Here is a 27,514-nt window from a genome sequence, read left to right as displayed (position 1 = left end):
CTCCCAGGTTCAAGTGATTCTCCTGCCTTGGCCTCCCAAGTAGCTGGGACTACAGGCATGCGCTACCACTCCCAGCTAATTTTTGTATTTTTAGTAGAGATGGGGTTTCACCATGTTGGCCAGGCTGGTCTCGAACTCTTGACCTCATGATCCACCCGCCTTGGCCTCCCGAAGTGCTGGGATTACAGGCCTGAGCCACCGCGCCTGGACCTTGTTTTTATTTTCGTTTTGTTTTGTTTTGGTTTTGGTTTGTTTGGAGTAAGAGCAGTCATAATCCTGACCTAATATTTAGTGTATCTTTTATCTTTCTTGTTAATTTCAGTTTTTAGTATAGTGCACTCACAAGTTCTCAAAGAATGGAAGATAGTGATTTCCGGATTTAGACTTTCTGTGAGCAACTAATTAACACATGATCAAAGTCATGGCATCAGATGGCTGCATGGTTGTTCTTCACTGAGACCTGGATTTTAATGATTGCTGAGTAGCCGCACTCCAGCTTCAAAGGGCAGTGTTTAACCTCATGCCAAATTTAAGTTTCTTCCCACCATTCTTGTGGGAGATAACCCTTGACCAGCTGGATGAGTTCAAAGAATGATAATTTTAAAGAAATGAGATAAAATAATTAGTAAATAGTATCCATTGCATACAAAATATACAAATACACGGCACATCCACATATACATACTTATATTTATTTGTGTACTGAAGTATATACAAACTGTGTATTTCTCATGCATTGTAATAAAAGAGTTTGAAGGTCACTACCTTAGAGATTATGAGACAAAATGTTTAGAGGCCCTTTCTTTAGCCATCTGTGAAGATGATGGATTAAGACTTGCTCAGAATAAATTCACTGTTGTCTGTAGCTTTCTACATAATGCTCTAAGTAGCTCTCAGTGATGTTTAAATTGGTCAGTTTTATTGTGGGCATTTGACCCTTAGCAAACTCATTTGCGAACTCCTGAGTTGGTGAGAAAAAGTCTGATTAGTGGTGGGGCTTTAGTTCCTACCATGTGTTTCTGCAGCTACAGGGTGTGTTCATGTGTGTGCTTCTGCACTCATCTGATGGTGCTTTGATGTGTTCCCTTTCATTTCCCCCCTTTATTATTGACTGTCTCTTATGGTTCCTATTATGTACTTCATTAGCATCTAGTGACAGTGCCATCTGTGGTATTCGGATTTGATCCGTTTTACACATATTCCAAAATATTTTCAAGCATGAATATTTATTCTTACCAACTTTCCTGTAAGTACTCGGAGGAGTCCAATGCAATTAAATATGCATATTTGATGTTACATCTTACTGGGCAATAATTCTACTGCATTTATAATCAGACTAACAGACGTTACACTTGAGGTATATGTCACCATCATGCTTACATAAATGATACATTGACCAAGACATAGAATGAAAGATTCTGAGATATTGACATTTTTTTAAATGACCTTGAGAAATACACAATCATGGAATACTTGGAAAAATTCTCCCTTTGAAACTGATGCAGGATAGGCCAGCCCCAAAATTGAAGCTTAGCCTGAGAGGGCTCTTGGCTTTGCCCAGGAGAGATTTCAAGTGTGAGCTGGTAGTGTCAGACAGCAATCTTTTATTGAATGGAACTCCTCCTTGCAGAGCAGGGCTAACTCATAGGCACTACACTCAGAGTCACCAACTTATGGGGTCTTTGCAAACGCATTTCTATTGACTTATACCCACTTTCAATTATATGTACATTAAGGGCAGGTTAATGCAAGTTGAGGGGCGAGATATTTAGAACTTTCTATGAAAGGGGGTAACTTCCAGGCCATTGCCATGGGAAGCTGTTGTAACTTCCAGGTCATTGCCATGGCATTTGTAAACTGCGATGGTGCTGGTGGGAGTGTCTCATGCTAATAAGCAATAAGGGCAACCAGGGATCACCCTTGTGGCCATCTGCTGGTTTCTGCCAGTTTATCCACTTTATTCTGTCTGAATCAGATTCTGTTTTAGTCAGCAGGGTTATGACCAGAAACAAGTCCTGCCAGTCTCCTACCTCAGATATATGTTTCTGTATCATTTAAGCCCTGGGACAAGTTTCTCAGACTGAAAACATGGTTTGGTAAAGCTGGATGCTTTCTTAAGGGGATAGGGTAAGATCAGAAAATAATCCACACTTTTCAATCTGCGAGTAAATAAATTAAATAATGGATGAAAATGTATTTCTTAATGTGATGCAGAATGGTAGATATTAGATTAATACAGGGTCATGAATTTTTCTTTAACAGGCTTGGCAATAAATATTTTAGTCTTTGTGGGCCACATAGATTATGTGGCATATTGTTGTGTTTTTTAAAAATAAGAGTTTAAAATGTAAAAAAAAAAAAGTCCTTATCTTAAAGGCTATGCAAAAATGAGCCATGGGCTGGATTTAGCTACCAAGCCATAGTCAGCTATCCCCTGGATTATCTTTTAATTCAAATATTTGAATGCTGCATTTTTGTACCAGTAGTCAAAATATTAACAAAGGAGAGCTCTACCTCCACATAATATTTAGAAAGGCTCAAGAGAAAGTCACTTTAGCCCTGAAAATGAGAAAAAGCCTAATAACCTATATTATCATTTTTTTTTAGATCATGAGAGAGCTGAGGTAATAAGGCAGCCATGGGAACTGATACAAGAGGATGACAAGCCCCTCTGAGGAGAGATGACACACACAAACTGTGTTACCTCTGGCAGAACATGTGTGCAAGAAGTGACAGTCATAAAAGTGGGTAAGAAGGAAACAACTGAAATGTAATAAATTCATAAAGTTCAAACGTAGGCAGCTGAGAGAGCTGGAATCCCTAGAAGTCTCTGACATAAGTAGAATCCACGTTCACAGACAGATGAGACCCTGTCTCAAATAAAAAAATAGTCAAACAGTATAAGGCTAAATAAAAAAATCAAGAACAAAAATAACAGATGCTGGTGAGTTTATGGAGAAAAGGCAATGCTTATACACTATTGGTGGAAGTGTAAATTATTTCAGCCACTGTGGAAAGGAGTGTGGCAATTCCTCAAAAAGCTAAAAGCAGAACTGCCATTTGACCCAGAATCCCATTACTAGGTATATAAAGACACATGCACAAGTATGTTCATTGAAGCACTATTCACAATAAAAAAGACAGAATCAACCTAAATGCCTGTCAATAGTAGACTGGATAAAGACAATGTGGTACATATACACCATGGAATACTATGCGTCTATAAGAAAAAGAGAGACATCATGACCTTTGCAGCAACATGGATGGAGTTGGAGGTGATTATCATTAGCAAACTAATGTAGGAACAGAAAACCAAATGCCACATTTACTCACTTATAAGTGGGAGCTAAATGATCAGAACACATGGACACATAGCAAGGACCAACACACTGGGGCCCATCAGAGGGTGGAGGGTAGGAGGAGGGAGAGGATATGGAAAAATAACTGATGGACGCTAGGCTTAATACCTGAGTGTCAAAATTATCTGTACAACAAAACCCTGTGACACGCATTTACCTGTATTACAAACCTGCACATGTACTCCTCAACCCAAAATAAAAGTTTCAAAAAAACTCACAAAATTTATGAAATATTCTGATATTTCTACTGAGAAGAAATAAATTCACTTATTTTTTGTACAAAGAAGGAAGAAAGGAAGAAGGAAGGGAGGGAGGGAGGGAGGGAAAGAGGAAGGAAGGAGGAGAAGAAAACAGAGAAAAATAGGGCTGAACAAATGTGTCTGTCTCTACCCAAACAGCTCTTGATGAGAAGGCACTTTGAGCAACTTGAGTGAGAAGTAACATAAATCAGAGGATGTATTAGTCTGTTCTCATGATGCTGATAAAGACAAACCTGAGACTGGGAAATTTACAAAAAAGAAAAAAAACAAAAAGAGGTTTAATGGAGAACTCACAGTTCCACATGGCTGGGGAGGCCTCACAATCATGGTGGAAGGCAAGGAGGAGCAAGTCACGTCTTACACGGATGGCAACAGACAAAGGGAGGGAGGTTGTACAGGGAAACTCCCCCTTATAGAACCATCAGATCTTGTGAGACCCACTCTCTATCGTGAGAACAGCATGGGAAAGACCTGCCCCCATGATTCAATCACCTCCCACCGAGTCCCTTCCACAGGGTGGGGACACCACCAAACCATATCAGAAGATCTCAATCATCTCCATTTACAGCCTTTCAAAAGTTATTCTGGCTGTTGTTTCTGAGCAATTCAAAACTTCCCTGGGGCCCAATGAATCCATGTATTCTCCTGAAGGGCATCTTTTACCTGGATTAACAGCACAGCTGAGAACCAACACAGACCGGTTAGTTTAGGAAGAAAAAGAAAAGAAAAATACAGTAGACCAACATTTCCCTCCCCCATGATATTGTTCTCTTTTCACTTTTTCCATTCAATGTAGAGAAGGATATTTGAATCCCAAAATTTCTAAGCTGAGAGACCTCTGAAACATTATCCTATACAGCCATTTTCAAAATATTTTTAGCAACAGAACACTTTTGTGAAATGAAATTTCATCTAAAAGCCTACTGCAGAAAATGGGGTGATAAAGTAATATTTTTCATATAAATGTATCACTTTAGTTTCAAGTTATCTTTCTATAAAGGCTGTCAGTAAATTTGATTGAGGTTCTTTTGAGGAACCTAACAAATTATTCTGTGGATTTCTGCATAACACTTCAGTTCCATATTAACTTCTACATCTGATTTTTTGGTGTTTTTACTGTTACCGTTTCACGGCTGCAAGAAGATCTTGATTTTCACAATATATTTATCGCTAATCTGTATCTTGGGAAAAAGAGAACCTCACTTTAAAAATAAACAAGTTACAAGTAAAGGATGGAAGAAGATATACCCTGCAAACATGAACCACATAAAAACTCAAGGTGTCAAATTAATACCTCACAAAGCACTCTTTATAGTGGAGATTATTACAAGGGACAAAATCGGACATTACATAATAATCATGAGATCTGGTCATTTAAAAGTGTGTGGCGCCTCCCTCCCCTCCTCCAACTCTCTCTCTCTCTTGCTCCTGCTTTTGCCACGTGAAGTGCTTGCTCCTGCTTCACCTTTTACCATGAGCAAAAGCTTCCTGAGGCCTCCCCAGAAGCTGTTACCAGAAAGGGGTCCCGATCCAGATCCCAAGAGAGGGTTCCTGGATCTCGCCCAAGAAAGAATTCAAGGTGAGTCCACAGTGCAAAGCAAAAGCAAATTTATTAAGAAAGTAAAGTGGTGAAAGTACAGCTACTCTACAGACAGAGTAGGATATTCCCAAAAGTAAGAAAAGGAATGCATCCACCCTAGGTACAATACTCGTTTATATACAGGATAAAAAAGATTATGGGGAGATGTGCTCTGCTACAAGGGTTTGTGATAAAGGATTAATTTTCTTAATTACTATATCTTGCAAGAATTGATATTATGATCTTTAAAGCAAAATTAGGAATGCTTCTGTTCTCAAGATATTGGGATATCACGACACTCCTAAGTCTGGGTCTGTTCAGTAAAAACATCTAGAGGCTAGAAATACCTAATTTTCTGAGAATGCAGCCAAGCAAATCCCAGCCTCCTTTTTCCTAGATTTTTCCTATTTTTTCAAGATAGAATTGCTCTGGTTCGAACGCCTCTGACAAATCCGGCGCCATGCTTTCTGTACAGCCTGCAGAACCATGAGCTAATTCAAACCTCTTTTCTTTATAAATTACCCAGACTCCAGGTATTTCTTTACAGCAATGCAAGATGGCCTAATACATGGTCTGCATTGCTTAGGAGTCTCATGTTGATTGCAGTGTCCTCAGTGGTTTCTGAAGGAAGGCTAACTTATCTCCCAAATCCTGCTGGTGATGCTGATTTGCTCACGTATGTCTGTGGCTGGTGTAACTTGCATTTTTGTCTCTCTCATCTTGGTCAGAATCTGGTACTCCCTGGCTGACTCAGCCTCAGCCCATGTGTGCTAGCTTCTGCAGACCCCTCTGAATCTGGGCTTCATCCTCCCTTCAGCCCCTGGCCAGGGTTGTCCACTCCACAGCCTCAGCTGCAAGGTAACCTAGTCCTTATCTGGCTTAAGCTTGCCCCATGGTAGCACCCCTGGCTCTTGAATCAGCCACTTTCCATACCCTCCAACCCCTCCACCTTCCTCAGAGAATGCAGCCCCTTGGGGTCTCACCTACAACACAGCAATAACCAAGATCAGCTCTTGAAAGCAAAATCCCTCATTTCTAACCATCTATTTGCCCACTTTGTAGACGATAGCATGATCCGATAGACATGGAGAACATGGTGATTCAAGTAAAAGGAATGATCATTACAAAAGCTTGTTCCTTGAGAATGTGGAAGGGCATGGGATCCAAGTGAAGGGTGTTAAGGAAAAAAAATTATTCATGGCATTTGTTAAAGAACGGTAAGGCAGACTTCATTCAGGACCATCAAGATAGGTGTAGGGACCACTGCTATGGGGTTTTGCAGTGAAGGGAGAGAAACTGGGTTCCACTCCAAATACAACAACGAAAAGTGGAAATTTATAGCCAAGGAGCAGGGTGGGGAGCAATGGACGGAAAATTACTAAGAGGAAACACCACGGGTAAGGGGGTATTGTGGCTAAATTGAACTAACAGGATTGTTGGTGAAGGTGGGCCAGGGTGACTAGACATCACCTGGGGGATGAGGAACCTAACTGAGATATTGATGATGGGAAATTCTAACTAAACTGACTTAGCAGGATTCTTGTTAAAATTGCACAATGCAGCGACAAACATGGCAGTCTAAAAGTCCCCTGTCCAGGGCTGTCTACTCCACAGCCTCGGCTGCAGGGTCACCTAGCCCCTAGCTGGGTTAGGCTTCCTTTATGGCATGATCTTTAGTTCTTGAATCAGCCACTTTCCACATCTTCCCTTCCATCCTCAGGGAATGCAGCCCCCTGTGAGATCACCTACTTAACAGCAAGAACCAGGATCAGCCTAAACTCTAGCACTCCCTTTGCCAACTTTTTAGATAATAAATACAGATAGAGGAACATGATAATTCAGGAGAAAGCATAACTGCAAAGGATGATCCCTTAAGAAGGTGGAAGGCATAGGATCCAGGTGAAGGGCCTGGTCTCAAGTAGGATCCTGTCTCTTCCTCCAGGGAAGCAGCCAAGATTATAAGTGCAGGTCTACTGCTGTTGGGAAGTGGTGTGAATTCTTCTCTGATTGCTTCTATTTTCTCAAGGGAATATCAGTGAATATCATGAGAAAATTGGGTGCTGGTGCTTGTGGAGGGATCTTGTAAGTAGACTAGACAGAGAAGGTACACTTGTGGAGGGTGTACATTGTTTGTCTACTTGGCGGCGGGGGGACTGCCAGGAGAGTAGGGAGGAGAGAGTTAATAGCTTTGGGTAAGCTGGCTAAGGAAGGTGAATGGTGAGGAACGCGGTTGTGGTTAGTGGAGAGGAGGCCTCCTTGAGGCTAAAGGCTGTGGATGCTGGGGCACTGGAAGAGGTAGCTGTTAGGACACGATCGGGTGCTGCCCGTTATGAGAATGGGGGATGCAAGAAATGGACATCGTGGAGGGGCGCGGTCTTTCCTGAGGCCCAGGGCATGACCGCGGGCAGAAGAGACTTAAGTGGGGGGAAGGAGACCCCCCCGAGGACGGAGAGGCGCCGGCCACGGCCTGGTCAGCCCCGGGGGCGCTGAGGTCGCCGAGGAGGATCAGCGGTGTGAGGGCTGCGAGGACAGGGCGTGTGCCACGTGAGAAGCGTGTTCAGAGGCTGGCTGGGTGGGAGGAGAATGTCCATGGGATTGGCACAGGTCTCGAACATGGGGCGGCTCGGGCAGTCGCGCAGCAGAGCCTGACCCTCAGCGGATCGTCCCTCAGGCGTCAGCTCCCAACTGCAGGGAAGGGAGCCTGCGGCGGACCCAGAGGAAACAGGAGCCGACCTCCCCGGGCTCCGATGCGCAGGCCCAGAGCCCGTCAATCCTTGGCCAGCCCCGCCCTCCGGGCTGCGTTTTTCCGGCGGCGCAGGAACTTCCTGCGCGGTTGCTATGGTTCCGAGGGCAGGACTATGGGAGGCTGCCCTGTACGGTAAGTTCGTCGGGGCCTTTCCGGCCGGTACCAGTCCGAGCTCTGGTCCCCACGGTCATCACGCTTTGCTTTCTCAGCCAAGATCTCGGGGCTCAGGGCGGAAACGCAGCGGATATGTATTTTCTTCCGGGGTTGGTGGCGCTCGGCTCTCATGACCTGCAGGTGACAGTGTTGGCCGGTGGCGCGGCCCTGCTTGCCTCGTGCCCCGCCCTTCGTGCTTGAAAAAAAATCCCGCGAAGCCTTCTCCGAAAGAACATGCTGGTTCTTTGGTTGTCAGTGCCTTACAAGCCCTGGAGGCGGGGGTGAGGTGGGGATGTGGTCCCTCGCGAAAACTCAGTCAGTGGACAATAGCATTCTGTTTTTCAAATTGGCATTTCCTCGGTGAGGCTGCTAGGTACCCTAGCAACTGGTATTTCTGTTTCTCTGATTGGTTTTGTCATCTTTCTCCACGTGTTACTGGGGTTCTATGGACCTTTATCAATGTATTCTTTCATTACAAACGTCTCTGAATCTCATGGTAGAAAACTTGGTTAGACTGTTAAAGCGTAATAAAGGAAACCAATCTTATCCACAGTCCGATCACCCAGCCGTGACCATTAATCATATTCTGTGATAAATTTCCTTAGATGTTTTTCATTCGTAAAGTTGCATTTTAAAAAATGAGATTAACATTGTTTCATGAACATTCCGCTTTTTAAACTCAGCTTCACACTTTGAAAAATCATTTTCATAGTATTACTCTGTTTTAAAAACAATGCAAACGTATTGTAAGCTGTTGAAAGTTTCAGTAAAACTTGAGCGCAAAATACTCAAATACTCAAAATACCATGATCAAAGACAAACATCACCATGCTCCCTAATGAAGGCAGAGCTGTGGCATGTGTTTGTTTCACTCTTTTATCCTGGCACCTGGAGGAGTGCCTAGCACTTAGTGGATGCTCAATAAACATTGTGAAATAAAATAATATTTACACCCGGTCATTTTTTCTTTATATATAATCAATCATTTCATAATGGAGTGTAATATAGGAGCAGTTTTCTACGTGATTTTTTATTTGGCATTTTGTACTCAGTACTCAGTCTCCTAGAGTCTCCTAGTACTCAGTCTCCTAGAGATGAGAATTGATTAAAGAGTAATGAAATTATAAAAATGAGTAAACTCAGCCATTCTTAGGAGTACCAAAAACTCAAAAGTAAGTCTCTAAGCAAATGTCTGGTTAATAATAGAGTGCTGTGAAAACTATGTCAAACGCTGCAATCTGATTACTTATTGACAAGGAACTTGAAACTGAAGATGTAATCTTACCAATCATTGAAAACAATTTTGAGAAAAGAATGTTTCAAGGAAGTAATCAGCCACAATCTCATGGTGACAATCTAGTGGAGTAACTATGTCATAATATTAGCTGGTATAGCAACAGTAAGTGCCTAACCACATTCAGCATACAAGAAATATCTCTTCAGTGTCGCTACACCACTGGCATAAGAACTTAAGAGTAGACACTGGCAGACACACATGTCTTACGATCTTATTGAAGGAGTTAAAAATCACTTACCCTGGAATTGTAACTTCATGGAGTCAAAACAATGAAACTAATTAGGTAGATTTTGAAAACTTAGCTATTAAATTCCTCATATTCTTTATTTTCAAGGATCATTTAAGGTTATGAAAATTATTTCTAGAAATGAAATGCACAGCTTGGCTTTACTTAGAGTTCTTGTATTACATTTTTTTATCTTCATGCCTGGTAATGGAGTACTTATATGACTTTTATATCTTGGGATAGCAGATAGTGACATTTTTTCAGACAAGTTCTCATATATGTATGTTGTCACGGCTTTACAATTTAAGCATCCAAAAGATCAGTTGTTTCATGTAACAACTCTCTCTTTACAATTTATTTTCAGGAAAAGAAGAAGAAATGGCAGTAAAGAGGGCAACCATCATTCCACCCAGCCCAAAAGGAATAAGAGAAACCCTATCTTTCAGGATTCTCAAGATACAGAGGTAGCAAGTATGGTCAGATTGCCTCTATTTCATTCATTGCCTACACTAAATTATCCAATTTGTGCTCCATAATGAAAAGAAATGTATTATTCCAAGAAACCTTCATAAAAGTTTTCTTGCTTGATTACAGTGGCTTTTGAGCTGGAGCTTTAAATTATGATATAGTATCTCACAGAAAATGGAAAAGAAGCACAGAAAAACTTTGCTAAACATAATCAGGAGGAATTAGCCCCTGTAATTTTGTCCCCTCATATGAGCAGGGAATAGTAGTCTTACTTCCCTTCTTTTTATATGGAAAACATATTTTCTAGTACATAGTGATATGTTATTAGCTGGAAGGCAAGTCTTGCTTTCTCAGTGAAAAAAAGTGAAAAATTTGGGGCAGTCTCATGATTTTTGCAAAACTTTAATGGTGCTGGAAAAAGAGTTTGAAGTTTTTAATTTTTTATTGATATAGAATAGTTGTACATATTTTGGGGGTACATGTGATATTTTGATACCTGTATATAATGTGTAATGACCAAATCAGGGTAATTGGGCTACCCATCACCTCAAACATACATCTTTTCTTTGTGTTGGGAACTTATAAATCTTCTCTTCTATTTTGAAATATACAATAAATTATTGTTAACTGTAATTTTCCTACTGTACTGTTGAATTCTATAACTTATTCCTTCTATCTAACTGTATTTTATACCCCTTAGCCAACTTCTTTTCATCCCCCCTTCCTCTCTTCTAAACCTCTAGTAACCACCATTCTAAGGAGCTTGAATTTTAACTTCAAGGTGCTTCACTTTAATAACTTGTATTCATTAGCATAATATAGCTTTAATTGAGATATAATTACTAGTGGAGTGTTAAAGGAACCTCATAAAGTCTTTCTGAGTTAATCCTCTTAGTTAATAACTAAGTATGGCTCACCTTGCCCTCTTTTGAGCAAGATGAGAAAAGATTATCAATCCAGGTCCTCTTCTTGGTACCTACCTATACACAGGTATGATTATCCAAGATTGTGGGCAGCTACTTGGATGGGTAAAACATAACTAGATTTAACTTATATAATTTGTTCTCTTAGGTGCTGGGGGATTTTTGTTGGATATGTTTGCACATATAGGAATATTTTCTTTCAACCATACATCTTACAAATTATACCACCACTTTCCCTGTAAAAACCCTAGTACATAGGTATAAGACTTACAGAAAGTACAAACACAAAGAGCCGAACATTTCTGTACAAGTGTGTCTAACTTGCCAGGAACATTCATTTTACCTTTCAGATTACTGAGTAGTACAAGAAATTAAGAGTGGAATATTATGTAGATATACACACAAGTGGCTTATCTGGAGCAGATCTCTGCCTTTTTCTCTTCCCTACTGTATAGAGTAGGAAAAGATTTTGTGCCCTAATGCTACAATTCCAAGGGGGCAGCAGAAATAAGACAAATGAGAGAAAAACAGAACTAGGAGGCCCCAAATACATTTAAAATTAGAGGTCTATGAATCCTGTTATTTTTCAGCTGATAGGAAATCTCCCCTTGTCAGGTTATCATTTTAAGTAATATCAATTCAGATGACAACTGGGGCATTTTTGTTTTTTTGAGACAGTCTCACTGGGTCACCCAGGCTGGAGGTGCAGTGGCACGATCTCGGCTCACTGCACCCCCACCTCCCGGGTTCAAGCGATTCTGGTGCTTCAGCCTCCGGAATAGCTGGGATTACAGGCATGCACCACCATGGCCGGCTAGTTTTCGTATTTTTAGTAGAGGTGGGGTTTTTCCATGTTGGCCGGGCTGTTCTCGAACTCCTGGCCTCAAGTGATCCGCCCGCCTCGGCCTCCCAAAGTGCTGGGATTACAGGCATCAGCCACCACGCCCCGGCTTTGGTGAAATTTTTTGAAGAACATTTTCTCTTAGGTTCTTAGTAGTTTGGAGTCATTCTCATCACGTTTGATCACATAAATTCTAAGAGACAGAACTACTTTGGGAAACATTTTTGGGGATGAAATCGTTGTTGAACAATGTAATGGTCATCAGATGTGGTTTTAAACCCTATGGCAAAATGGGAACCTTCTGAAATTAGCTTCTACTTAAAGATACATTCAAAATGGAGGAACAAGCTTTTTCAAAGATGGCCTAATCTATTTTGTACATTTTAAGAAGCCGTGTTCATGGAGCATACTAAACATCCCAAGCACTTTCATATTGCAATTGAATCTTACAATCTCAGTTGTTTTAATGAATTGAATATGTCCACATGTTTTTCTGCAGGTGAGGATTACCTATCAGTCTTTTTTTTTTCATTTTTGTTTGTTCAAATCCCATTTACTGAATTGAAACAAGGTGAGTTGTATAGATTTTTAAATAGTTGTATAGATTCTATTATAAATTTAATTTTTGAGCTGGAAAATAACTTACAACTCAGTGTCTGTTCTAACTTCATCTTAGGAGGGAAACTAAGCTACAAAAAGCATTGATTATTTACCCCATCAGCACAGAGAAGTTAACACATGAATATCATTACCTTGCTAATTTGGAAAGTGGTTGTAATTCAACAACCTAATTAATTTTGTATTTTACAATTCATAAGATTCCACAATGTTTCTAGTATTAGAGAATGTGTACACGTCATTTTAAATGCCTTGGAACTTTGGGAGCACATATTTTAAGTGCCCTCTGATGGATTTGGTTAGGATCATCTGTTTTACTTACTCAAGTTTCTACAGGTGCCTTTGAATAAGCATCATATTATTATTCCAGGGATAGACTATGTATTAGGAGTGAATGTTTTGTTGTGGAGGTTCACATAAAGGAAAAGCTGTAAGGCATGGAGGGATGGAATTGAGAGGAAAGCTAGGGCTTGAAAGAAAGTAAAATACTGGGCCAGGCGCAGTGGCTCACGCCTGTAATCCCAGCACTTTGGGAGGCCAAGGCGGGTGGATCATGAGGTCAGGAGTTCAAGACTAGCCTGGCCAATATGGTGAAACCCCACCTCTACTAAAGAAATACAAAAATTAGCCAGGCTTGGTGGCGCGCACCTGTAGTCCCAGCTACTCGGGAGGCTGAGGCAGGAGAATCGCTTGAACCCGGGAGGCGGAGGTTTCAGTGAGCCAAGATCGTGCCACTGCACTCTAGCACTCTAGCCTGGGTGACAGAGTGCGACTTCCTCTCAAAAAAAAAAAAAAAAAAAAGAAGAAGAAGAAAGTAAAATACTGGGTTCATCTGCTTTTATCATTAAAAAGTGTTATATAATTTTATATCATGAATACATGCATGAATTTCTGCTCTGTTTTTGTGAAGATATTCTGTAACTAATATTCCTCCTCATCTCCTCAGTTCTATTTATCCTTCATTAGCCTGCTAAGGTTCTCTTTTCACTCCCTAACTAATCTTGTGTCTAGTTTATTTTTCTCTCAAGTACTGTGTCTTTTCCCTCTCTTTTAAATCCAAACTGTAATCTGCATTCACTCCCTTTTGTTTCTCACCTCCATTCGTGCTCAGTAAACCTTAGCTCCTCCATCCCCTCCCTATTCCTTTGCTGTAACATGTCAGGAAACATCTGAGACTTCCTAAATTGCATTACCAAATATTTACTGAGCACCTACCATTTGCCAATCATTGTCCTGGGTGCCTGGCATCAACTTAGTGTCTCTGTCATTTCCTCAATGATTCCTTTCTATTCTACCTCTGCGTGTATCAAATATATCCCTTTCTTTACATTTCCACCATCCTAATTCAGGCTTGCATTGCCTCTTGCTTGATACATTGCAAAATTTCCCAGTGATTTTTGTGGTCTCATCCACCCCCTATTTCATTCATCCATTAAAATGCTCTTCCTAAATATACATCTGAGCATTTATCTTATGCTCAAATACCTGTTTGTACAGACTTCTTAGAGTAACATTCAAGGCCCCTGATAACCTAGCCGTATCTTCTCTTGCATATTTTAGCTCTCACTAACTCTTCTCTGGGAGATACCAGCCACATCATCTGTGGCTTTGTCTCCTCAAGAACTCTTCTTCAGCTTGCTTGTGCTCTTATTGCTCTCTCCATTTGTCACACCCTTCCTATTAATATTCTCTGTATCTTTGAAGGCCTAGCTCAGATGCATTTCATTTTAAGAAGCCTCCTCTATTTCCCCAGTCAGCATTCATTGCTACATTCTTGTCATTGCAATAGCTTGATGCTGTCATTCTCAGAGTACTGTATGCTTCTTGATTAGGCTCAAGAATTACCTGTTGAATCCCTAAGTAGCCCAGGCAAAGTGCCTTCTTATACATTGTATAATAGACATGCGAATATTTGTTTAGATACTGCTTGGGCATCAGAACAATCTGTGCCTACTTGACAGCCTCTCAGAGGTTGGGCCCCAGCATATGCACACGAGTCAAAGTGTTAGAAAACCACACGGTGATTTTGATGCCTATTCTGAAACAGAATGTATTATAGCAAATCCCTGCTGGCCTCAAAGTTTCTTTGGTTACAGGTAAGTATGCAGATTTCTTTATGGCCCAAACTAACCTAAATCCTGCTTTTTCACACAGACCTGGACCCCAGGAGTTTTGTAAAGTGCCTTTGTGAATTTTGCATAATGAGATCCCCTTCTTTAGAGTCTTCATAAATATAATTTTATTTTGCTATGTGTGTGAATTTGCAAGGGCTCTATTCTTCATTTGCCTTGCACAGATATCAAGCATTAAACCTATATTGAAAATTCAGACAAAAAAGAATAAGCTTTGTAACTGTCAGATAGTATAAGCATTCTGGTAAGACATTTGTATGAGGATTCAGGAGGATGGTGAAGATGTTTTATATATTATGAGCCTTTCCAAATACTAAAGTGCTTAAAATCTCATTTATTCTCTGATAAAAGAATTTGCACTTTGGGAGGCTGAGGCAGGAGGATCCCTTGAGCCCAGGAGTTCAAGGCCACAGTGAGCTGCAATTGCATCACAGCAATCCAGCCTGGGTGATGGAGCAAGAGCTTGTCTCTAAAAAAATAATAAAATAAAGTGTATTAAGGTTAATGCTTCTGTACTAAGATAGCAGTTTCAAGTGTCAAAACCATACACCATCAAAAGCAAATTTTCCTCTTAATCATTCTGATAAACGGTCCATTAAGTGGGATCTCACATGAAACAGATTCACAAGGTAAGTGTGACAAAGCCCAGGTTGCATAATATAGGCTATGTTTATTAAATAAACAGCATTATTAGCCTAGAAAATGCTAGTGTATATGACTTTGTAGATGCTCTTTACTAGGCTAAAGGAGGTTAAACCCTCTTCCCAAAATCTCGGTTATGGAATCACAGTGCTTTTTAAGTCTTTGCTTTGAAGTCAGAAGTAACTGAATCCATAAGCAGGAGATTTTACTTGGTTTTGTAGTAGCATTCTTTAGTTTGCCTACTTAAAATGTTTCTTTTTCACAAAAGAAATATATTTGTAGTGGATGAGTTAGAAAGTGAAGATACAGGACGGGCGCGGTGGCTCATGCCTGTAACCCCAGCACTTTGGGAGGCCGAGGCGGACAGATCACAAGGTCAGGAGATCAAGACCATCCTGGCTAACATGGTGAAACCCCATCTCTACTAAAAATACAAAAAAAAAAAAATTAGCTGGGCGTGGCGGCATGCGCCTGTAGTCCCAGCTACTCGGGAGGCTGAGGCAGGAGAATGGCATGAACCCGGGAGGCAGAGCTTACAGTGAGCTGAGATCGCGCCACTGCACTCCAGCCTGGGTGACAGAGCGAGACTCCGTCTCAAAAAAAAAAAAAAAAATTAATAAATAAAAATTTAAAAAAAGAAAGTGAAAATACAAAACTAAAATTTAAAAAAAATTATTTAAAGTCCCAACTCTGTATATGTGAACTCAAAATATCTGAGACAGGTCTCAATATAGAAAGTTTATTTTGCCAAGATTAAGCACGCACCTGTGACACAGCCTCAGGAGGTCCTGACAACATGTGCTCAAGGTGGTCGGGGTATAGCTTGCTTTTATACATTTTAGGGAGACGGAAGACACCAATCCATATGTGTATGATGTACATTGATTCAGTCTAGAAAGACGAGACAATTTGAAGCTGCGGCTTCCAGGTCATAGGTAGATAAGAGACAAGAGGTTGCAATCTTTTGAGTCCTTGATCTGCCTTTCACTGAATATACAATTTAGTCTGGCTTGGTGAATCTGCATTTTTACACAAACAATAGGGTAGAGGGAGTAATCAGATATGCATTTGTCTCAGGTGAGCAGAGGGGTGACTTTCTGTCTGACACCTGTGAAGATAAGTTATCAGTTTACATTGCCAGGGTAAAATTCAACAGAACTGTTTTAGGGTAAAGATCTTGAGTCCCACAAGGAATTTCTTTGTGGGCAAATTGTGAGAAAGGTATGTCGCTTTAAAAAGAATCTTTATAGCTATCTGATTTAGGAATAAAATGGGAAGTGGGTTTGCCTGATGTAGTTCCCTTGGCTTTGTCTTTAGTGAAAATGTTTTTCACTAATTTTCCCTTGGCCTAATGATTTTAGGGCCCTGAGATTTATTTTCCTTTCACATTTTTACCACTTTCTTTCTTAAATCTTTTGGAGAAAGCATTTAAGAAGAAAATGAATCTCTGGTCTCAGATTTTGTTTGATCTCTTGTGGCAAAGATGGTTTGTTTCTAGATGGGTAGGTCACACATTATTAGGAAACCTTATTTTTAGCAGGTTGTGAAGTATCATGTTCTATGACAAAAAAAGTAGGGGGAGGAAGAGAGAAAGAAAACAACAAACAAAAAGATGGAGAACAATCCTGGAAAATCAATATAGGCCATATTACTCTGAAGTCCATACATCTGTAGGCAGGTATGAAAGTGTTTTATGTATGTAAATAGGTTGCTGTTATTTTTTTCTGAAGCTGAAGTTGTCTAGCTTCAGTTCACAGGGTTTTAAGAAAGCACAGCTTGGCCGGGCACGGTGGCTCACGCCTGTAATCCCAGCACTTTGGGAGGCCGAGGCGGGCGGATCACGAGGTCAGGAGATCGAGACCATCCCGGCTAAAACGGTGAAACCCCGTCTCTACTAAAAATACAAAAAATTAGCCGGGCGTAGTGGCGGGCGCCTGTAGTCCCAGCTACTTGGGAGGCTGAGGCAGGAGAATGGCGTGAACCCGGGAGGCGGAGCTTGCAGTGAGCCGAGATCCCGCCACTGCACTCCAGCCTGGGCGACAGAGCGAGACTCCGTCTCAAAAAAAAAAAAAAAAAAAAAGAAAGCACAGCTTAATTTTTAGTGATTTCAAATAAGGAAAAATGGAAAAAAAGGAAAGGAAAGAAAGAAAAAAAATGAAAACATTATTTTTGGAGACTTGTAGCCAGGAAAAATTTTAGAATCCAGCCTAAACTAGAAAATAAGAAAAATTGAGAAAACATTAGGCAAGACTAGAATCTAACAACAGGTGTACTGTAGTTCATTTTGAAACATATTTTTTCTCTCTCCAAGCCCCATTTTCACTAAAGACAAATCATAGGACAAATTTATGTGTAAAATAAGCGTTAGTTTTATTATACTTTGCCTGAGTATTTGTATAAAGTCAGCAAGAATAACTATTTGCCGTGCACGCTCTTTTGTTTTGCTGGAACTTTATTCCATAAGGAATCTCAGATTACACTTCAACGCCTTGGGCGCAGCCATGGATTTATCTGTGCCTGTAAATACCCACATTAATTGGGTAAATTACTTACTGAGGTCCCAAGATAATCTGGGACTCCTTGGGCCTGTCAGAAAGTGCCATTCTTTACTTACCACAGGTCACGAACCTGTACATGTACTGTGTAGACAATATATGAGGCCAGCTTTCTCAAGGGGATTTTATTGGCTCTATAAGTCAACTTTGATTACTTAAAGTAATCTGTTTGGATCTGCCATTCCAATCAAAGCCTCAGTAAAATCAGTGCCTTCAATTGTGTCCTGTTACAAAAGAAAACAGAGTCTTATCAATTTTTTGCAAATAACTATACTACCATAAACTACGTATACTTGCAAATAGTTTTCAAATTCTGGAAAAATCAGGTAGAAATATGCTTCAGATTTTTCTCACACTAACATAGTTAACCCAATATTAAAAGCTGCAAAATAGCTCAAAGAAAAATGGTTTTCTGGACTCAGAAACAAAAGTTAGAAAAAGAAACAATGTTACAAATTCAGAAACAAAAGTTTCTGAGTTTCAAACAATGTTTCGAAGTCACAAAAAGATTATTTCAGTTTTCCATTAGTTTCATCTGGGTAATTAACTCCTGTTCTGCTCAATGTTTATGAACACATTAGCTCTCTGTGGGAGTCTTGGAAGTTTTTCCTCTATTCTAGTATCACAGTCTCCAAAGTTATCAGAAGCCTGCATTCAAGAGTACCTGTCAGAGTCCTATAGCTGATTATAAAACCACCTTTTGAAAGTGATAAAAGTAAAACAACTATGAATGACAAGAGTCTTAGAACAGTCATAAAGACATAATTGACAAGGAAATTTGGTTACTTCTGTGGCTTACAACTATTTTACATAATCATTATTACTACTGATAACATATACCAGAGGTTCCCAATCCCTGGGCTGCAGACTGGTACTGGTCCACGGCCTCTTAGGAACCAGGCCGCACAGCAGGAGGTGAGTGGTGGGCAAGCGAGAAATACTGCCTGAGCTCTGCCTCCTGTCAGGTCAGCAGCAGCATTAGATTCTCATAGGAGCGCAAACTCTGTTGTAAACTGCACATGTGAGGGATCTAGGCTGTGTGTTCCTTATGAGAATCTAATACCTAAAGATCTGAGTGGAACAGTTTCATCCTGAAACCATCCCTTCCTTCCCCCATCTGTGGAAAAATTGTCTTCTACAAAACCGGTCCCAAGTGCCAAAAAGGTTGGGGACTGCTGACATGTACCAAGACATATCAGAATCACAGGAATTTCATACAATTCTGAAACACATACTAATAACACATTTATATAAATATAATCCAAGGGTTAAATGCCATTTTATATTTGACAATACTTCTTGTATGATTGTATTATATCAAATAACCCAAATATGTCTCTTTTGGGCGTCAGGGGACCTAATATTAAAAGATTAATGAGGACCAAATTTAGAATTTTATTTTGGAAAGTTTGTCAACTAGAAAAAGTTAAAAACACTTGATATCACAAAATAGGATCAAAAGTCATTGTAAAATAAGTCATTCATTTAGCTGAGTGATAGATTTCAAAGAAAGACAAAAGTTTTTATTTTTTTGAGACAGGAGACTTAATTTCCCAAACCATAAGCTTTCATAAAGACAACATGAGGCCCATTAAATCTGTCTTTTAAATTTTTCCAAACAAATTTATTAAGTTTTGGTCATCTTGACCATAAGATATAATTTCAATAAATTTTTTCATAACCTTTATTTTTCTTTAATTAAGAAATGGGTTAATGCGCCAAGAAAACCTTGTTACTCTGACATCGGGGCCCAGATGCTGGTCTTGCATCAGTGTGCCTTCAATATTAATAGTTAATTTATAGAGAAACTGAACTAATTTTATCTCTCAAAATTGGCCGTTACAATCTCACACACCCACCTCTTCCATGATAGTCCCTGGGCCTTGAGGAATTTAATAGTTTTAATTTCTGGCCTTGTGCCTTATGAACACAGTGTATTTTGATTGGTATCTTCTACTGGGTCTGAAGATAAGGCTTTAACTGCTGTCATTGTTTAAGATTTAGCAAGACTTGGTGTTCTTTTTATATCCAGGAGTCAACGCCCTGTAACTTAAAGGCACAAGGACTTTAAAAGCAAGAAAGTTACGTGGATATAGTAACCTTGATTTAAAAGAAAAATTTAACCTCAGTTTTTTTCTAAGCAAATTAAAACTTAATAACAATGGCATAGGAGTTATTTTGATAAAATGTAAAATTTGTTAGACCAGTTACCAAAAGGCAAGAAAAAAAAAAAAAAAAACCTCCTGCAGTACAATTGATATTCCCTATGGAAAGTCCATTTAGGTAAGCTGCAAATCAAAACTAATGAAAATGATACTTGAATTAGTTAGACATAGGCAGAGTGTTTCCTGGGTAATAAATGAAAATTTTCAGATTCATGGACAAATTTAAAGCCAAGAGCACAGAATGTTATGTTGGAAGAAAACATTTTCTTTAGACCTTTAAGATAAAACATTTTTAGCATCAGGCTATGACAAACAGTTAGAACCTGAGGAGAAAAATTACAGAAGCTGAAAATGAGTTGAAGGAGAGGGTTATTATCTCAGGCCTTTTCAAGGGGGAGAGAAAGCTGAAAATACAAGATAATAAAAGTTGAAAATTGGGTTAAACAAATTAAAATCCGTTGTAATTTTATTGAGAGTAAATCAATACCTTAAGAAAATTTTGTTGCTCTAACTGATTCTTTAGTGTATGTTTTTTAAAAAATCAAAACCCAATCTCTAAAAAGACTATTATAAATAATTTCCCTTTAATTATAGACAACTTGATACAAATCATTAATGAGATGCTTGGACTTCCTGTTTTATCCCAGACATCTTTCTTTCTTAAATAACCAGTTATTTTAGGACAGAAATTTACCATACAAGATTTTTTCTCATATAAAATTATTTTCCTTTTAACGTTTCTTGCCAAAAATACCCCTTTATATTTATAAAGAGGTAAATATATAGTATGTAAAGAAAGAGACATTTCTTTACATTGCTCTTATTTACTGGTTTCTTTCACCTTGTTTCATAAATAACTTTTAAGTAACCTTTGAATTAGACAAAAATTATTTTCTTTTAAATAAGAAAATATTTTTTAGAAAAATATTTTCCTATAATTTTTTAAAAATTAGAAATCATCCAGATGTTTAATGAGTATTTATTATTTAACTTAATATAACTTTAGATTTTAAATTATATGACAAGTTTATTTACAGGCATTTTTTCTATTACATTTACCTAATTAATTTTTTAAATGGTTTACTCAGATGAAAGCTGTGAATGTCATCATTTAGTTATTTCTCTGTTAACTATTTTTATAGCCTATAAATTTAGGTTTTTCTAAGAACCTGAAGTATAAAGACTTCTGATATAGAATGATATATCATTATTGTTAATGGCTGATGAGATTCTGTTGTATGAATGCATGCACTATAATTTAAATACTTCTTTGTTTTTAAACATTTAGTTATTTCTGATTTTCAGCTAATAAAAATATTGATAGCATAAAAATGTCTTAATGAGCATTTCTATCTGTACACAATTGAGTTTAAAAACTTTTAAAATGAAACAAATTAAAGGTAGATTTTTTTCTTAATAATTATTCTAAAGAAATCCCTTCTAGCCTATGAATTTTTAATGTACACAGCATAGCATCACCCTAGTGTTGCACTACAGTGTAAAATCAATATGTTGTCATTGGAGAAGAAAATTTGATTCATCAGAAATGATTTCTAGTTCTTACCTTATTTTTCAGGCAGTACTGTAACAAAAAAAAAAAAAAAAAAAAAAAAACAAGGAAAGCCAACTAAGAGGAACCGAATTGTCAGCTGTGGGTTTCTTATCCAATGTAATAGCTTACTTAATTTTGGAATATTCATAACTTCATTACTTTGTGACAGTGGGCATTCTATATTTTTATACTCAGGCCTAGGAAAAATTTTTTTTTAATTTTCTTTTTGAATTGGCTTTGACATTTAATCCTTAAATCAATTTGATTGCTATTGCTAACTCTCACATCTGGCTTCATTTGACCCCTTCTATCTCTTTTCCTGCACAAGTTCTTTTAACATGTTTCTAGTTGGATAAAGATGAGCATAGGTTGTCTCTTGGTACCTGTGGACAGTGTTACTGTGTGACCTAAGTTGAACAGCTGCAAATGACCTATGGACTATGACCATTCTTGGTTTAAATCTTACTAATGTTACCTTTGGAAAAAACTTACTTAGAAGAAATATAATACCAGCATTGTTAAATATTGTAATTTGAATAAGAGTCCTTGCCATTACCTTCTTCTTTTGGGAATTGTAACATTGGAAGGCAGGAAATTCTTGGAAACAACTGTTTACAGGGATCCCTGAGTAGCTTCTCCAACATAAAAAAGACACTGAATCATGTTAGTTTAATGAAAGAAAAAGAGATCTTAAGAGGAAAATACACACCCTATTAAATTCATAAGTATAGAAGAACAATGAATACTAGTCATAAAATGCTAATAAGTAACATATAACTTTAACTAAAAGTATGTCAAATGCCTTTCAGGATATGTATGTAGCACTGAATTGATATAGGAAGACCATACATGTCCACCATCAGGATATGTGAACAAAATCATTGTTTATTTGTATCTATGTGTGTATGCACGTATGTATAAATGTGTGTGTCTTATTTGCTTCATTGTAACTTTTACCCATAGTCCAACTTACTTGTTATGGTCATTATTTCTACTACATCCTCAGCATTAATTGATACTTCAGGTGGAGGATGAGTACTTACTTCTCTGATGCAGTTATTGGAATAAATCGTACAAGCAAGGGTAGAGAATGTGTGAAGGGATTTGGAATTGCAAGGCCTGTGTTTGAATCCTCACCCTGCCACTTCGTAGATATATGACTTTGGACAAGGCAGTGATCTGTTTCCTCATCTGTAAAATGGGGGCTGTTAATCCCAACTTCATTAAAGGGTTATTGTGAGGATAGAATGAACTATCTTAAATGGCTCTACTTTGTAAAAACCATTAAGCCCATTATAGAGTTTTATGCTGCTATTCTCCAAGCCAAGTAGGAAAAATGTTGTAATAGCATAATAGCAATCCCCTTTCTGTCTTTTTCCTTCCAGTTTTCATGGAGTGATAATGAAAGGAGCAGCAGCCGCATTAATATCCCAGAGAGAGCAAGTGGACCAGAAGGCAACTTAAACCAGATTGTTACTGAACCCGATGCAAACTTTCCCCAGTTCTTGCATGAGGGGTATGTACCATGCCAAGGTCTTTACTCCCATATCAACCAGACCTTGAAGGAGGCTCACTTCAACAGCCTGCAGCAGCGAGGGCAAGCTCCAACATGATGAATTAGGACTTCCTTATTCCAACCTAAACTGTGTTTATAAAAGCAATTGCATACACACCAAAAAAAGTCTATTGGTTTTTAAGTCTACATTTTAAGTAACAAGTTAATGGGCAGTTGTTTAATTGGGGTTTTACTTCACTGTTGTACTTTTAAAGGGGCTGTGAATAAATGTTTATGAAATTTTTATTTTTATTTTTATTTTACTCTTTCTACATAGAGTTTTCAAGTTGAGTGTCAATTTCATGTTAAGGTAGCAATATGAGGAAACTTCTCCTGTGCATTGAAGCCATATGTCCAATTCAGATTGATTTCCAGATCTGTCAGTTAGAAACTCTATGTTAAACATCTTTTTAAAATACAAGTAAGTCTTCATTTTTAAAAATACAGTAGCCTAGTAAAGAGGTATGTAGCTTTCATTTAAAAAACAAACAAAAAATCCACACTCAAAAAACCATAAGTTAGTATTCCCAAATATGCAAAGCCAGATTCAGTCTTGCACTGAAATGAACTGCCATACTCCCCTCAGAAGGTAGATGTTCTGTTGAAATTGCTCTCTAGTTGTAATGGCAACAATCAGACCCAGTTTAGACTATGAACATGAAAATCTCTCTCTAATAACTGTCTCTACACTTTGTATTTCCAGGGAGAATGTTTCTAAGGCTCTTGTATACTTAGATACCTTCTGTATCATTTATCCTCTAGAGTGTGCACTTCAGACTTAGTAGGAAACACTGCACAATTCTGTCAGATAAGAAATATGTAATATTTTGTCTTAAACAAAAATTTATTACGTTAGCACATTATGTGATCTCATAATTCCATCTATTATGTATAGAGTTAATGTTAATACAGTGTAAGCTACTAAACTGATGTTTAAAGTAACAAGAATTATGGAAGTGGGTTGGACAACTGTCCACTTTATGCTACATAGACCCTTTCCCAGAGATTAGGGGGCTAGCTTCCATTATTAAAATTGCAAAGATTCACATGGCTTAGAAACAATAAGCTGAGATGCCATTAGAAGAAACAGGCAGTACTATTTATTTAGAGATGGGGGGGTCCCCATGTTTTAGTCATACTAAAGAGCCAACCAAATTTGAATGGGGAATTCATAGATGTGCTTCCTCAGTGGTGAGCTGTGTGAACAAAGGACCAGGATGCATCAGGTTATCTGCCCTGGACTATGCAAAGGGTACAACCTGTTGCTAGATTTAAACAAAAATGCGTTAGAGTCTAACAATCCTCTCCTCCCTGGTCACATTATCTTTTCCACTATATTTGGAGGTCCACAGAGTGTAAACTAGCAGATCTGAGAACTATGGATAGCTCTACAAAGAGGTGTTTGCCAATTGGCAAGGTTTGGAAAAGACGTAAGGTTACAGTTTTACTGAAAGAAGAATGAGATTTTATTAAATGACAGAATTAACATATGAAAATGAACACTATCTTAGGAAAAGAATACATACCTACACACACACACACACACACACATTTTCATGGTTGTTTCCTTGAATATGGGTAGGATTTTAAGGAAGATACTTGCAGTAGAATTTTAGTGTTATGGGGAAAAAATTACAGCACCACATTGGCCTCAAACTTAGGGAGTAGGCATGAGTCAATTATTTCTTAATTAGATGGTTTGAGTAAGAACATTTTTTCTATGGCCAGTGCTTCCAAAGTCAATACCAGATGTATGGTGAGAAGAAATTTAAATTCTAAAAGGTTTTATGGCAGAAAATAGAGAAAGGATACCTAGCCACCAGTTTCTCTAACAATAAAGTGAGCAACTAAGTACTAAAGAAGATGAGATATTTGAATTTTCAACCCACATGTACACAACAGGATTCAGAAATACCCAGGAAGAATTCTGCATGCTTAAATACATAGCATCCTACTGAAAGAAAGTGTCTATTAAAAACACAGTGTAGTTGAACAGCTGAGAAAGCAAATTTCCATTCATTCCCCCTATTTAAAGATATCAAAGATAAAACTGTCACCATGACAAAGCATTATTTTTTCAAAGTAAAATAATAATAATAATAATAAAGCAATTACATACACACAGAAAAAGTGTTGGCTTTTCAGTCTCTGTAAGACTTTTCAGTACTTAGTTGAACTAAGTAAGCACAGTCTTATTCCAGAGTGGTCAGTGTAAATCTCTTGTCCTAGTAAATACAATATGCAATCTCTGTCCTGTCTTTTGCAGATTGTCTAAACCTGTTTATGTCATAAACTGGTTTATGTCCTTTGGTCCTGAAATAAAACTCAATACTTCACAGCAGGGAAGGAACCAAGCTGTTTAAAACTACTTATCTCCGCTATGAAGGAGAAGTATTTTCAAGGAATATCAGAAGAAAGTAGAAAGTGAGAGGAGGTTCCAGCTGGGCTTCCTGGGTCAAGTAGGGGCTCAGAAAGCTGTGAAACTCACTCATTTCCTGCATGCGGACTTACTTTGGTCCTGGATGAATAATATTGAAGATATGTGCTTAAAACATTCCTAACATCAGAATTTGCGCCTGTGTTTTCTTCCCCAAGAAAGCTATAAACAGCGAAAATTTTGTTGTAAGCTTCCCTGTGTCCTCTCTCCCTCTCTCCCTTCCCCCTCCCCTGAAACTAAAAGGAATGTTAAAAGCCCACTTTTCTGTGACCAGCAGACCTTATCTATGGTCCCAATTCCAATTCCTTGTAAACACAATTTGTAAAATCCCGTGAGATCCTGTCTCCTTTGCCATCCCGCTGCAAGGTTATAAGTAGAGAAAACTTAAGTTACAATTCCAGTTTTCCTCAAGATCTGAGACATGTTAATTGTCTTTGTTTCTCCCTCTGGTAACATCTTCCCACCACACATATTTCCTGCCTTAGAGAGTTTAAAAGGTGATAAAAAAATCTAACACTGGCTACCCCGCTCGGGACCCCTTCCACGCTGTGAAAGCTTTGTACTGTCACTCTGCTTAATAAAGCCTACAGCTTTTTTACTCTCGGTCTGATCTGTGTCTCTCTCTTTGGCGTGGCTAAGGCAAGAACCTTTGGCGATACAAAAGGACTTGTCTGGATTTTTTTTTTTTTTCAAAATTAGGAGTTTGAAAAAAGGGAGCCAGATTAGTTTAAGAGGTGAAATTAGACCCTGTTATATATTTTAAATGAGAATATAAAGCAAGAGCAGAATGCTGCACCAATAATGAGGTGTGGTGGTGCTTGGGGGAAAGAAACTGCCCTTAAATTCAAACCCACCCTGTGCCACACTCTGTGCGAGTTACTCATTAACCCCTGAGGTAGGTGGTGTGGGCTCTCCATTTCATAGGTGAGGAGTGGGAGGCTGACAGTAAGTTATCCCTATGACTACATACAATCCTGAGAAAACTGAGAGTGGTTAATGATTTGCTAAAAGAAACACAGTGGCCAAGCAGCAGTGCCAGGGTATCTCTGCTTTTATAGTGAAGACCAGGGCTGCCAGGACACATTTTCTCTAGGGAGTAGTTCTCTGTTTACATAACCAAAGAAACAGTAGAATGAAACAAAGTTTACTCTAAGCTCTTCATCAGAGTCTCCATGTTGAATGATTTTCTAAATTCATTTCTTTTTATATAGCAGCATTTTCAAATGAATGCTCTGTAATATTGTCACTTAAATCCCTACAAAGTGAGTCAGATCTTAAAGCTGACACTGTTACCAGACTCTGTCTCCTCCTCGATTTCTTGTTCCTCCTGGCTGGAGGCTGTGGTCAGAGTACAACCTATATCATCTGAATGGAACAACTGGTTGAATACATGAACCGAGGCTGGGCAAAACAGGCAAATATTCTGACCAGGAAGCCATTGAGATCTATTTTATATTTTGTTTAAGACAATTTCTTGAGACCAACTGTACAAAGATGGTGCACCTGCCTAAATCACATGTGAGATTCTACACTGGCGCACATTTGACTGGTTGGCAATTTCCATGTATCTTCTGGCCACAGTATTGTTATAATGAATGGAAATTTTCTGGTTACAAACAAAACTACAAATTCATTTGCCCATTAAGATACTGGTGGAGACTTTAGGGAAAATGATATTTAGGTTGAAGAGCAGAAAATATATAGCCTTCTCCAGGGAGAAAGTCATTCATTCATTCTCATCTGATGGAAGGGAAAAAAATCCAACTTTTTGGTCTATAAAATCTAATTAAAATGAGTGGAAAAGATTTTATATCTGTGCTATTTCTCAGGGTTCAAGTGAAAGTAATTGTGTGGAGTTAGAGTTGCTCTTCCTTTACTACTAAAAGACTTTTTTGAAGTAGGCAAGATTGTAACATAATAAAACAAATAGATGATTAACAGATCAACATGGAAAGTATAAATTTACACATCACTCACTTTGACAATCCCCAGACTCCAGATTTGGT

General features: G+C 38.5%; 1 protein-coding gene across 12 annotated transcripts, besides 4 other annotated features; it reads left to right on the top strand.

Annotated features, from left to right (window-relative positions):
• Window positions 7,239–7,739: an enhancer, noted in NCBI's record as "H3K4me1 hESC enhancer chrX:55187907-55188407 (GRCh37/hg19 assembly coordinates)". NCBI's record gives its function as "activates a minimal SCP1, AML or CMV promoter by ChIP-STARR-seq in naive H9 embryonic stem cells {active_cell/tissue: H9 hESC(naive)}" and the evidence as "EXISTENCE:reporter gene assay evidence [ECO:0000049][PMID:30033119]".
• Window positions 7,740–8,240: an enhancer, noted in NCBI's record as "H3K4me1 hESC enhancer chrX:55187406-55187906 (GRCh37/hg19 assembly coordinates)". NCBI's record gives its function as "activates a minimal SCP1, AML or CMV promoter by ChIP-STARR-seq in naive H9 embryonic stem cells {active_cell/tissue: H9 hESC(naive)}" and the evidence as "EXISTENCE:reporter gene assay evidence [ECO:0000049][PMID:30033119]".
• Window positions 7,740–8,365: a biological region, named in NCBI's record as "H3K4me1 hESC enhancer GRCh37_chrX:55187406-55187906".
• Window positions 8,028–26,111, top strand: VCF2 (VCP nuclear cofactor family member 2). 12 transcript variants are annotated; one of them, NR_030722.2, is made up of 4 exons: window positions 8,028–8,076; window positions 9,985–10,091; window positions 22,902–23,032; window positions 25,338–26,111. NR_030722.2 is itself a non-coding variant. In NM_138362.4 (4 exons), the coding sequence occupies exons 1-4, from the start codon at window positions 8,057–8,059 to the stop codon at window positions 25,432–25,434; spliced, it is 348 nt and encodes a 115-aa protein (NP_612371.2). In that variant the 5' UTR covers window positions 8,028–8,056; the 3' UTR covers window positions 25,435–26,111. The 12 variants fall into 12 exon arrangements, 11 of the variants coding, with proteins under 11 accessions (NP_612371.2, NP_001160171.1, XP_016885442.1 ...); NM_138362.4 differs by having other exon boundaries at window positions 9,985–10,084; NM_001166699.2 differs by having other exon boundaries at window positions 9,985–10,087.
• Window positions 8,066–8,365: an enhancer, noted in NCBI's record as "active region_29676". NCBI's record gives its function as "activates an Ori minimal core promoter by ATAC-STARR-seq in GM12878 lymphoblastoid cells {active_cell/tissue: GM12878}" and the evidence as "EXISTENCE:reporter gene assay evidence [ECO:0000049][PMID:35858748]".
• Window positions 26,112–27,514: the final 1,403 nt, after the last annotated feature.

Source organism: Homo sapiens, chromosome X (genome assembly GCF_000001405.40).
Source record: "Homo sapiens chromosome X, GRCh38.p14 Primary Assembly".
Lineage (NCBI taxonomy): Eukaryota > Metazoa > Chordata > Mammalia > Primates > Hominidae > Homo > Homo sapiens.
The sequence above is the reverse complement of the archived record's forward strand: the minus strand, read 5'-3'. Positions and strand labels throughout refer to the sequence as shown.

Coding starts and splice junctions, on each gene's coding strand:
- VCF2 (XM_024452475.2), top strand. CDS start 8,390: ATGTGGTCCCTCGCGAAAACTCAGTCAGTGGACAATAGCATTCTGTTT. Junction 10,085..22,901: donor AGGATTCTCAAGATACAGAG/GTAGCAAGTATG, acceptor TTTTCCTTCCAG/TTTTCATGGAGTGATAATGA. Junction 23,033..25,337: donor CCCCAGTTCTTGCATGAGGG/GTATGTACCATG, acceptor TGTCTTTTGCAG/ATTGTCTAAACCTGTTTATG.